Source organism: Homo sapiens, chromosome 5, assembly GCF_000001405.40.
Source record: "Homo sapiens chromosome 5, GRCh38.p14 Primary Assembly".
Taxonomy (NCBI): Eukaryota; Metazoa; Chordata; class Mammalia; order Primates; family Hominidae; genus Homo; species Homo sapiens.
Genome location: NC_000005.10, coordinates 130,139,532 through 130,153,061, shown reverse-complemented (window position 1 = coordinate 130,153,061; position 13,530 = coordinate 130,139,532). Strand labels below are relative to the sequence as shown.

Below are 13,530 nucleotides of genomic sequence, written 5' to 3'. Positions count from 1 at the left end.
GCAGGGTTTCACCACTTTGGCCAGGCTGGTCTCGAACTCCTGATTTCAAGTGATCTGCCCGCCTCAGCCTCCTAAAATGCTGGGACTGATTACAGGTGTGAGCCGCTGCACTTAGCCTATCAGTAGTTGCTTTTATGTAACATGCCATTGATTTGACTGGGGCTACAGAGATGATGTACACAGAAGTAAGAATTTTATAAAACTAGTGCTGCTTAGGCTAGCAAATGGTTTGTAATAATTTCTTCAGTTTTCAAAAATTACCAAAAACTGAAAGAAGGCCATTTTACAGATGTTCCAAGGGCATTAAATATTATCAGTCAAGCTTCCTTCATATTTCTTTGCAAAACAGCTTTTAACAACAGCTGTGATTCTCTTATCTGTTGCTTTCAAAGGAAACTTGTGTCTATTGCTGTATGTATAGTTTTAATTATAGGTATTCCATATGTGAATTTTAATTATTTATTTACCTCCAATTTTAGCAAGAGAACACTGATTAGAAGCTTAAATAACTCTCGCCCTCTTACTCACCCTCACAAAACTGATAGGAAAAGTTTTAAATACTCTGTGGTGAAGGAAAAAAAGTCGACATAAAAATATCTACAAAAATTACAGGAAGAAGAGAAATGATGAAAGTTAGTAGAGGATCAAAACATGTGAAGCACTTTTTATTTAATTTTTCAATATGTGTTCTGGAAATCATTAATAGTCAGTCTGCAGCTGTTTCTTACTGAATATAGTGTTAGAATGGGAAGACCACAGCTTTTATGGAAAGTCAACAATTTTGATTATGGTCACAAGGTTTGCAAATTACTTTGGCTTCAACTATTCTGCTATTATTTTTTCCTTATAGTAAATATTAAACGTTAATGCTGGAACAGTGGCTTTTAAACTTTCATGTGAAGATGCAGCTGGGGTGCTTGTCAAAAATGCAGATTTTCAGACTTTTTCTTAAAAGAGTCCAATTCTGATTTTTAAAATGTGTCTCCAAGTGATTCTGATGCAGGTGTCTCCGAATTAAATTTTGAATAATGTTGGGCTGGCTCAAGGGCACCTAGTGCCTGGCATAGATATGTCCTCAAAGAAATTAAAAACTTCTCAGATGTATCTACAATGACAATGCTGATGAATGCTGATGAATGCAAGCATTGTGAGGGGATGAATTTTGCCTGTTTTGTTCACAGCTAATATGGTTTGGGTTTGTTTTCCCACTCAAATCTCATCTGGAATTGTAACCTCATAATCCCCATGTATCATGGAAGGGACACAGTAGGAGGTAACTGAATCATGGGGGCGGTTACCCCCATGATGTTCTCATGATACTGAGTGAGTTCTCATAAGATCTGGTAGTTTTATAAGGGGCTTTCTCCGTTTGCTTGACACTTCTTCGTGCCACCATGTGAAGGAGGACGTGTTTGCTTCTCCTTCTTCCATGACTGTAAGTTTCCTGAGGCTTCCCCAGCCGTGCTGAACTGCAAGTCAATTAAGCCTCTTTTCTTTATAAATTACTCAGTCTGGGGTATATCTTCATAGCAGCAAGAGAACAGGCTAACACAACAGCCACGTTCCCAGCACTGAGATTAGCACCTGGCACACAGTCAATAACTATTTGCTGAATGGATGTGTGAAAGAATGATTTGAGCATGTCAGTACTTGCTTTCTGAAGTTCATGCTGTTCATTGGATCTTCTATCCCACACTAACTATCAGAAGGCAAAGGACTTGTGTCAAGCATGCCCCAATTTGCTCACCAAAAGTGGCATTTTGGGCCTCACAGTAATGACATTTGGCAAAGTTACCAGTCTTGAAAGTGTAATTTTTGAGTTTTATTTTCTGACCTACAAAACTTAAAAGTGTACCTGTAAGGGGCTGCAGTACCTTAGTGGATCACAACAAATCAGCATGCACATTCCAAATGTATAACCTATCACAGAAATATGACACCCATAATCCCCACAAAATATCCATGTGGTTCTTAATGATGCTGAACTACAGAGTTCCTATTTTCTTTTTCAGACACTATGAGCTTACAAAATGTTCCTGCATTAGTTGTCATGCTTTGAAACAAACTTGGTGTGATGATGTTTCAACTAGATCTAAAGGGAATGGACAGGCAGACCCACACAAACACATGATTTCTTTTAAGAAATACTGTATTATTTCTCTAGGGCACATAAAAATATTTTGTGAAATCATAAAGTTACATAAAACTCATAGGAAGAAACAAATAAAACTGCAAGTTTTATTCCTTCATAGAGATTCAGAAAAGATGGAAAATACATGGTATTAACCAAGGGAGCAGATCCTGTACTATTTTGAATGTGTCCTTCATTAGTAAGGACATCGGTGCTAATGTCCTTAGTAATTCATCCTGTAAGTTAGCACACTTAACATAAAAGTTTACAGTACTCTTAGCACCATGATGGAAAGTAATCCTTTTGAGACTGCTTCAGGCCTAAATATCATATAATCATAAAATTTTTATCAATAGTATATATTCAAATGTGTTCATGTTGTTATTAATTAATACTGGTTGGTTGAACACACCTCTACTTATCAATATTTTAAATGATTTCTCCAGTACAATATTATTTCTATTTACATTTTTTCATTTTAAAGTAATAAATATTGTGACCTCTTAAAGGTAATTTGTTGAGTATTTTATTTATTTTATAAATTAATTAAAAGAAACAAAATTTGTGTGTGGCTAGATATTACTTGTTGATTACAATTTATAATTTCTACTGCCATTTTAGTGTCCTAAAAGATATGACCTGTTGAATTTCTGCTTTCATACAATTAATGATATTGTTAGACCTAAAACTTTGCTATTTATTTTTCCCCGTTATTGGAATACAGTGTGTATCTTCTGTTTACTGCTGAAAAATTCTATCCATTTGTCTCTCTCACTAGTAGTCAAACTTTCTAATAATTTTTCATTCTTTGTGAAAAAAAGTAATAAATACTTACTTTACAAAATTTGGAAAATATTTTAAAAGTTGTCAAAATACACCCCTGATCTAAAATCACACGAGAGCCATCATTATTTTTATATACATACTTTCAGTCTTTTTGTATGTATTTGTACATAGCTGTGATCATAAGACATATGCAATTTCTTAGTCTACTTTTAAAGCTGGTTATTTCAAATAGCTTATAAACATCATTTTAATGGCTGAATAAAATTTTCAAGCATAATTCATATTTTAAAAATTACTGTAATTTTACATTTCATTAAAGAAACTTGTATACAGATACTGGTGTTTTAACCAACAAATGCACAGTGGCAAATCTGTCCAGTTCTGAGAAAGGTAGCTGACCCTTGTTATACCAGAATTTTAGTCATTAATGCAACTCTCACTCTTTAGATACTCAGTCTCATTTAATATAATAATCTGTCATAATGGGTTGCCACCATATGTTGATATAGTTTGGATGTTTGTCCCTGCCCAAATCTCATGTTGAATTTCAATCCCCAATGCTGGAGATGGGGCCTAGTGGGAGGTGTTTGGATCATGGGGGCGGACCCCCTTATGGCTTGGTGCTGTCTTTGTGACAGTGAGCTCTTGCTCCGAGTTCATGCAAGATCTGGTCTTTTAAAGTGTGTGGCACCTCCCGTCCCCCATTCTCTCTTGCTCCTGCTTTCACCATGTGATGTACAACCTCCTGCTTTGCCTTCTGCCATAATTATAAGTTTACAGAGGCCTCCTCAGAAGCAGATACTGGTACTATGCTTCCTGTGAAGCCTGCAGAACCATGAGCCAATTAAATTTCTTTTCTTTATAAATTACCCAGTCTCAGGTATTTATTTATAGCAATGCAAGAACAGCCTAATACAGAAAATTGGTACCAAGGAGTGGGGTCTTGCTATAAAGATACCTGAAAATGTGGAAGCAACTTTGCAATTGGGTAAGAGACACATCAATAAATGGTGCTGGGATAACTGGCTAGCCATATGAAGAAGATTGAAACTGGACCACTTCCTTACAACATATACACAAATCAACTCAAGATGGATTAAATACTTAAATGTAAAACACAAAACTATAAAAACCTTGGAAGGTAACCTAGGCAACACCATTCTGGACATATGAACAGGCAAAGATTTCATAATGAAGATGCCAAAAGCAATGGCAACCAAAGCAAGAACTGATAAATGGGATACAATTAAACTAAAGAACTCTGCACAGCAAAGGAAACTACCAACAGAGTCACCGGACAACCCACAGAATAGGAGATAATTTCAATTTATGCATCTGACAAAGGTCTAATATCCAGCATCTATAAGGAACTTAAACAAATTTACAATAAAAAAACAAAAAACCCCATTAAAAAGCGGGCAAAGAACATGAACAGCCACTTTTTAAAAGAAGACATACATATAGCCAATAAGCATATGAAAAAAGCTCAACAACATCACTGATCATTAGAGAAATGCAAATCAAAACCACAAGGAGATACCATCTCATACCAGTCAGAATGGCTATTATTAAAACATCAAAAAATGAGAGGTGCTGGCCAGGTTGAGGAGAAAAAGAAACATTACACAGTATTGGTGGGAGTGTAAATTAGCTTTAACCATTGTGGAAAACAGTGTGGTGATTCATCAGAGACCTGAAAGCAGAGCTACCGTTCTACCCAGCAATCCCATTACTGGGTATATACCCAAAGGAATACAAATCATTCTACCATAAAGACACATGCATGTGTTCACTGCGGCACTATTAACAATGCTAAAGACATGGAATCAATCCTAAGTGCCTATAAATGATAGACTAATAAAGAAAATGTGGTACATATACACCATGGAATACTATGCAGCCATAAAAAGAATGGGATCATGTACTTTGCAGGAACATGAACGGAGCTAGAGACCATTATCCTTAGCAAAGTAATGCAGGAACAGAAAACCAAATAACACATGTTCTCACTTATAAGTGGGAGCAAGATGATGAGAACACATGTACGTACGTATAGAAGAAAACAACACACACGGGGAACAGTGATGAGAACACATATACACATAAAGGGAAACAGCACCCTTCAGGAGTATGGAGGGTGGGAGGAGGGAGGGGATCAGGAAAAATAACCATGGTTGTTGTGGTTAATACTTGGGTAACAAAATAATCTGTACAACAACCCCCCATGACACGGGTTTACCTGTGTAACAAACCTGCACATGTTCCCTTAAACTTGAGGTTAAAAAATTACTTCTCAATTTAAAAGTCAAAGTTGTAAAAAGCAAAAAATGAAATAAAATAAAATTGTGTATTATCTTACCCCTACTCGCTCTCATTCCCCTACTCGCTCTCATTCCTGCTTTTCCATGTGACATGCAAACTCCCACTTTGCCTACTGCCAGATTGTAAGCTCCCTGAGGCCTCATCAGAAGCTGAGCAGATGCCGAGCACCATGCTTCCTCTATACCCTACAGAATCAGGAGCCAGTTAAATTTATTTTCTTTGTAAATTACCCAGTCGTAGGTATTTCTTTATAGCAATGTAAGAATGGCCTAATACACATATGCTGTTAAAATGCTTGATGTTATAGAAGTTGGAGACCTCTTTGACTGGAAGTTCATAAAAGGAACGTCATTTTCTGATAATGTTAAGCCAGGCATTTAATCTTTCTATGACTCAATTTCTAATTTTTTACAAAAGGAAACAAATGCATTAATTAACATAAAGCAACCATGCAAATTAGCAGTGGTATTGTCTACCTGGAATAAATAAAGCTCAGTTGATACAATCACAACTCACGTATGCTTTAAAGAGTTTGGCTCACAATTCTACATCTGTATCCATGAAGAATGATATCATGGCTGGCAGTCTCCACATCTAGATCATAGTCCAAGATCTGATATGGAACGATGCTATTTATACAAATGCTTTAACCTTTTAACTTCTTTGGATCTCAGATATATCATGTGGAAACAAGGCAAGCAGTACTGCCATGAGATAAAAACATATGAAGGCCTGGCACAGTGGCTCATGCCTGTAATCCCAACATTTTGGGAGGCCGAGGTGGGCGGATCACTTAAGGTCAGGAGTTCATGACTAGCCAGGCCAACGTGGTGAAACCCCGTCTCTACTAAAAATACAAAAATTAGCTGGGCATGGTGGCAGGCACCTGTAATCCCAGCTACTGGGGAAGCTGAGGCAGGAGAATCACTTGCACCCAGGAGGTGGAGGTTGCAGTGAGCCAAGATCGCGCCATTGCACTCCAGCCTGGGCAAAAAGAATGAAACTCTGTCTCAAAAAACAAAACAAAACAAAACAAAACAAAAAACAAATGAAAATGCTTTTTTTTTAATTAGCACACTATAATTGTAGATATTCATGGGGTACAATTTGATGTTTCAATATGTATGTATAATGATGAAATCAGTGTATTTAGTATCCATTACCTTAATGATAAACGCATTTATCATTTCTTTGTGGAGAAAATATTTTAAAAAGCCTATCTTCTGATATTTCATAATGTATAATATCTTACTGTTAACCATCTAGTGATGGTTAACTCTACTGTATAATAGAACACAAGAACATATTTTTCCTATCTAATTGTAATTTCTGCCTATTAACCAGCCTCTCCCCCTTCATCTCCCTTCCCTCTCCAGTCTCTGGTAATCACTGATCTACTCTCTGGTATGTTTGATAACATCTTTTCTTTTAGTTTCCACGTATGAGTGAGATCATGCAGTATTTGTCTTTCTGTAGCTTGCTTATTTCACTTAACACAATATCCTCCTGATTCAACCATCACCTGGCAAAATGAAGGATTTCATTCTTTTTTATGGCTAGATAATATCACATTGTTTATATATACACCACATTTTCTTTAACCATTAATCCATTGTTGGACACAGGTTGATTCTACATCTTGACTATTATAAATAGTGCTACAATAAACATGGGAGTGTAGATATATCTTCAACATACTGATTATATTTCCTTTGGATATATATTAAGTAGTAGGATTGCTGGGTCATATGATAGTTCTAGTTTTAATTTTTTGAGGAATCTCCATACTGTTATCCATAATAGACATACTAATTTACAATACCACCAACAGTGTGCAAATGTTGCCTTTTCTCCATATCTTTGCCAACACTTTTCTTTTGTCTTTTTAATGATAGCCATTCTAAATGGAATGAGATAGTATCTCATTGTGGTATTGATTTGCATTTCCTTGATGATTAGTGATGTTGAACTTTTTTTTTCATGTATTCACTGGCCATTGGTATGTCTTCTTTTAGAAATGTCTATTAATATCATTTGTCCATTTTTTAATGGGGTAATTTAGTTTTTTTGCTGTTGAGTTGTTTAAATTACTTACATATTCTGGATATTAACCCACTGTCAGATGTATAGTTTGCAAATATTTTTCTCCCATTGTCTACATTGTCTCCTTACTCTGTTGTTTCCTTTGCTGTGCAAAAGCTTTTTAGTTTGATGTAATCTCATTTGTCTGTTTTTGTTTTTGCTGCCTGCACATTTGAGGTCTTGGTTTAAAAATTCTTGCCCAGGCCAATGACATAAAGCATTTTCCCTTCTTGTAGTTTCATCATTTCAGGTTTTACATTTAAGTCTTTAATATTCTCCTTAAAGTCTAGAATTTGTGTTGATTTTGTATATGGTGAGAGGTAGTGGTGTAGCCTCATTCTTCTGCATGTGGATATCAAATTTTCCCAGCAACATTTATTGAAGATACTATCTCTTCCCTAACTGTGTTCTTGGCACCTTTGTCAAAAATCAGTTAGACATAGCTGTGTGAACTATGTTTGGCCTCTTTATTATGTTCCATTGATTTATTTATCTGTTTTTATGCCAGCACCAGTTGTTTTGATGTGAATGGTTTGGATATGTGTCTCCACCCAAATCTCATGTTCAGTTGTAATCCCCAGTGTTGGAGGTGGAGGCTGGTGGGAGGTGACTGGGTTGTGTGGGTGGTTTCTCTTTAATGGTTTAGCACCAGCCCCTTGGTGCTGTTCTCATGATAGTGAGTGGGTTCTCATAAGATCTGGTTGTTTAAATGTGTGTAGCACTGCCCTTCCCTCTCTCTTCCTCCTGCACCAGCCATGTGAAGTGCTGGTTCCCCCTTTTCCTTCCACCATGATTGTAAGTTTCCTGAGGCCTCCCCAGAAGCCAAGCAAATGCCAGCATCATGCTTCTTTGTAATTGGCTTACAGCCTGCAGAACTGTGAGCCACTTAAACCTTTTTTCTTTATAAATTACCCCATCTCAGATATTTCTTGATAGCAATTGAGAGAAGGGCCTAATACGTTTGGTTACTATAGCTTTGTACTATATTTTGAAGTCAGGCAGTGGAATGACTCCAGCTTTGTTCTTTTTTTCTCACGATTGCTTTGGCTATTTATTTGGTGTCTTTAGTTCCATTAAAAAAATTAAGATTTTTTTTCCATTTCTCTGAAGAGCTTCATTGGTATTTTGATAAGAATTATATTGAATCTGTACTTTCCTTTAGGTAGTATGGACATTTTAACAATATTATTTCTTCCAACCTATGAACATGGGGTTTCTTTCCACTTAATTGTGCCTTCAATTTCTTTCATTAATGGTTTATAGTTTTTAGTGTAAATATCTTTTATTTTGTTGGTTAAGTTTATTCCTAGATACCTTACTTTTATGCAGCTATTGTAAATAATTTTTTTTTACTTGACAGTGTAATATTAGTTTTTAGATATGCTACTGATTTTTGTGTGTTGATTTTGTATCCAGCAAATAACCATATATTTGTTATTTAGTCCCTTTTGTGGGGGATAAGTAGCAGGAAACTGGAGTCAGCCATCTTGCTCCACTTGGAGTTTTAGGAAGATTTTTCTGCGTTCTAAAGTACTATTATTTATATCAAAAGTCATTAGATGTTTTGTCATTGGTAAACATGGAAATACTTGTGAATTTTTTTTTTTGCTTGGAAAGATATATTTATAGAAGAAACACTTCTTAAACCCTTTAAGCATAGAAATCTAAGGCCACCCACAAGTCATTACAATCAATCTCTAGACACCCTAGATTGAACGACTTAATAAAAAGAAGACAGCAATGTAAAGCTGAAGTTTGCCACTCTGAAGTTTAATATTTACTTTTTCCTGAATATAAAGTAATACTTACTTTCATATGCAGTTAGTAAAAGTATACAATTGATTCAACTACTTTGGAAAATAGTTTGGCAGTATCCAATATAGCTGAATTGGCATATATATATATATATATATATATATATATATATATACACACATATATATATATATATATATACACATATATATATATACACACACACACATATATATATATATATATATATACACACACACACACATATATATATATACCCTATGGGTATGATTTCTACTCCTTGGTATGTCAAATAAATGTACATATGTTCACCAAAAGACATGTTCAACAATTTTCATAGTAGTGATAGTATGCAATAGCCCCAATAGTAGCAATAACCCTGAATTAGAAATGGCCCAAATATCAACCAGTAGAATGAATGAATATATCATGAGAATGAGCAAACCATCGCTCCATGCAACAACACAGATGACTCTGGCAAACCTAATTTTGAGTGAAAGAAGCCAGATACAAAGTAGCACTTACTATGTATAAATTCATATATTTCAGTTCAAATAGCATAGATTAATTTGGCCTGTCTTAGAACTCTGGTCCCTTAGTGGGCTTTTAAAAATCCCTTTGTCTCATGGTCTGCTTCTTTTTCCTAGTAAATTCAATATTATGTCTTGTAATCACAACCTACTCTGGAGGGTTATTGCCTTTCTATTTCAAATGATGAACTCAAACTACTTCTATTAGACAAGTTGTGACAATGATCAAAGGAAACAAATAGTCTGGAGAGATAACTAGCTAGCTCTTTATGGGTAAGGCAATCACTAGGCTTTTATCCACACAAAAAAGTTTGTCTGTTGTAATTAAGGATTTATTTTTTTGAATAGATACACTGAAATGCTAGCAATGCGCTATGGTGAAAAGATAGCATTAACAGTAGATCAATGTGTTAAGTAAGGCCATAACATACTTCCATACTCTTACAGAAGACAGAATGAAGAATGAGTACCAGATACATTATTAATGTGTCTTTAGAAGTGGCTCCCTTTCCTCTGGCTCGCTCCTCCTTTCCACCATCTCCTGTGTTCTGATTGAGGGAAATCTTCAAGATCACCCATATGGGATTTTGACTCTGCCCTATTTTCTGAGCCTTGGCCCTTCCAGTCCCACTGAACACTCACTAAAGCAGCTATTAAGGTGAAGACCATGGATTCTCTGTCTTTGGAAAGTGGAAATTTGGGACTTGATCAAATAGCCTAGGAGCTCCCTACACATTTAATAACAGAAACTGTCTGGATAATTTTTGCTTAGAAACAATTGCAAAGGAAAGGCTTTGAGGATCTTGAATTTATATTCTCATTTATCTTTTGATATTATGTAATTAATTCCTACAACAATAATAAAAATGAAAACCCTTTAAAAAGAGATTGATTTTGATGCCTTACTTTAAAATAATTTCCTAAAACATAATCAAATTGGAATATTCTATTTCTTTGTTAGCTAAAAGCAACATTTCCAAAAAGCGAGGTTTCAGTTTTCCAGTTGGAAAAGAAAAATTATGAACAAAAGGTCACGACTCTTACTTTGGAGAATAAATGTTTGAGTGATTGAGAATAAATGTTCCACCAATTGAAACAGATACCAAATAGTCACAATTTATTTTAAATACATAATCACTGCATATGCACACTTGTGAGTTTCAAAGTACTCTGAAGATCCCCATCTCCTCAGTAGATACTGACTGCTAGTTTGGCTATGTGAAAACCATATTATTATAGAATTTTTTGGTGCCAATTTTAAATACAATTGTTTAAGACATTACCTTTTCCACTTATAATACAGTACTTATAAAGTGCAAAGTTATGTACCTCCCCTGTGCACATGTTCCATATTCGAGTATTGAGATTGGCCAGTAGTTAACTACTGCAGCTCAACTTTAAGATGGCCACAGAATTTGCTACAAATTTGAGTCCTTCAATGTTTTAACTTTGTGGAACAATGCTACATCTATACTTGAGCTGACTTAGTCAGCCTCTTCAATGGGGGCCCTGGGGAAGCTCCAGCAGAGGGAGCTCCACCATCAGGGAATCCCCCAGGCATTCCTTCTGGTGTGCCTCCTGTACTCTGGTACAGGTTGGTAATTATGTGGTTGCAGACTTTCTCCAGATTTTGATGTTGAAATTCTTCCTTCTTCTGAATCTGATTCTTATCCAGCCAGTTGATAATTTTAATACCCTTATCAAGAATCTTCTGTTTGTCCTCAACGTTAATCTTGCCTTGAAGTTTCTCATCTTCAACAGCTGCTTTCATATCGAATGCATAGCTTTCAACTGAATTCTTGGATGACATCTTGTCCTTCTGCTTCTCATCTTCAGCTCTGTATTTCTCAGCTTCCTGGACCATACATTCAATGTCTTCCTTGCTCAAATGGCCCTTGTCATTAGTGATAATAACTTTGTTCTCCTTTACTTACTCTGGGCCACAAGAGAGACATTGAGGATGCCATTATCATCAATATCAAAAGTGACTTAAATCAAAGGAACACCATGGGATGCAGGAGGAATGACTGTGAGTTCAAACTTGACAAGCAGGTTGTTGTCCTTGGTCATGGCACTCTCTCCTTGATAAATCTAAATAAGCACACCACGCTGGTTGTCAAAGTAGGTAATGAGGTCTATGTCTGCTTGATAGGAATGGTGGGATTATGCTTAATGAGGACAGTCATGACTCTACCAGCAGTTTCAATACCAAGAAAAAGAGGAGTTGACATCCAAGAGCAGCAAATCTTGAACATTTTCAGATTTGCTTCCAGATAGGATGGCTGCCTGGACAGCTGTACCATAAACAACAGCCTCATCAGGCTTGATACTCATTCAGCTCATTTTCATTAAAGAAGTCTGGAGAAGCTACAAAATCTTGGAAATACAAATAGAACCATGAACCAGGACAATATCATGGATCTGTGACTTGTCTAGTTTGGCATTTCCAAGGGCCTTCTCTACGGAGTCTAGAGTGCCATGGAACAGGTAAGCATTCAATTCTTCAAATAAGGCATGGAAAATGGAGGTATTGAAGTCAATTCCTGCAAAGAGAAAATAGATCTCAATACTGGCCTGGGTGCTGGAAGAGAGAATATGCTTAGCACATTCACAAGAAGTATGGAGGCATCAGACAGCTCTATTGTTCTCACTGATGTCCTTCTTGTGCTTGTGCTTGTGTGTGAACTCAGTAATAAAATGGTTAACCATTCAGTTATCAAAGTCTTCTCAACCCAAGTGGGTGGCTATGGCTGTAGACCTAACGTCAGAGATTCCATTCTAAACAATGAGGGTTGACACATCAAAAGTGCCATCTCCCAGGTCAAAGATCAGCATGTTTCTTTCAGCTCCAACCTTTTTGTCTATAAGCAGTAGCAGCAGCAGTTGGCTTACTGATAATTCTAAGTACATTGAGACTAACAATTGTTCCAGCATCTTTGGTAGCCTGATGCTGAGAGTCATTAAAGTAAGCTGGCACTGTGACCACAGCATTGGTAACAGTCTTTCCAAGGTAGGTTTCTGCAATTTCCTTCATCTTTATCAGAACCATAAAAAACACTTCCTCTGGATAGAAGCTTTTTGTCTCTCCCTTGTATTCTACTTGGACGTTGTGCTTATTCACCACTATGAAGGGCTGATGCTTCATATTAGACTGGACAACAGTATCCTCAAATCTCCATCCAGTCAGATATTTGGCATCAAAAACCATGTTGTTAGGGATTCATTGCAATTTGATTCTTTGTGGCATCACTGATCAATCATTCACTACCAGTGAAGATGACATAGCTTGGAGTGGCTCCGCTTCCCTGATCATTGGCAATTATCTCTACTTGTTCATGCTGGAAAATACCCACACAACAGTTGGTAGTGCTAAGATCAATACCAACTGCAGGTCCTTTAGACATGTTTGCTTGCATATAGTCATGGCATGGATTGTGAAGACACAGGAATCCCAAAAGCTATCACAATATTCCATGAGCCATTATAGGAATTTTTAAAAAGCTTCAAAATTCCGTCAGTGTACTTGACTTGATAGCCAAACTTAGCTGTAGTAGGAAGTAGTTCTACTTTTGAGGTAAGATCTATTATTCGAGGTAAGCTATTGTTAACAAAATAATTGGCTAAAAATTTGTTTTATAATCATACTACTAAGCAATCTAATATTGTAGAAGCTTTAAAAATATTTGCTTTTGTTTCCAATTTCTCCACAATAATCAATACCTATTATAATGGCACCTGTAATGATTATTATGAATATTCTTCACCATATTTTAAAGGTAGAATATTCAGAGTGGAACTGTATGGTTTTGATTTCATGTTGTAAAATCCCAAGAGGGCAGCCACATGTTCTCATTAGCAGCACAGAAGAAAAGAACTTTAACTTAAAATAAAGCAGCTCCTATT

The 13,530-nt window shown here is 36.2% G+C and overlaps 1 protein-coding gene and 1 pseudogene across 6 annotated transcripts in view; both read right to left on the bottom strand.

The window, feature by feature from the left end:
• Positions 1-13,530, bottom strand: part of CHSY3 (chondroitin sulfate synthase 3) — a 282,656-nt gene that overhangs the window by 33,573 nt on the left and 235,553 nt on the right. Inside the window, exon 3 of one of the 6 annotated variants that reach the window (XM_005271982.5) lies at positions 10,718-12,170. The exons of 4 other annotated variants lie outside the window; for them this stretch is intronic. In XM_005271982.5, coding sequence (XP_005272039.1) covers positions 12,123-12,170 — 48 coding nt within the window. In that variant the 3' untranslated portion in view covers positions 10,718-12,122. Of the gene's footprint in view, positions 1-10,717; positions 12,171-13,530 lie in introns of those variants that run through there. One more of the 6 variants, XM_017009435.3, reaches the window with a different exon arrangement.
• On the bottom strand, positions 10,915-13,054 carry HSPA8P4 (heat shock protein family A (Hsp70) member 8 pseudogene 4; annotated as a pseudogene).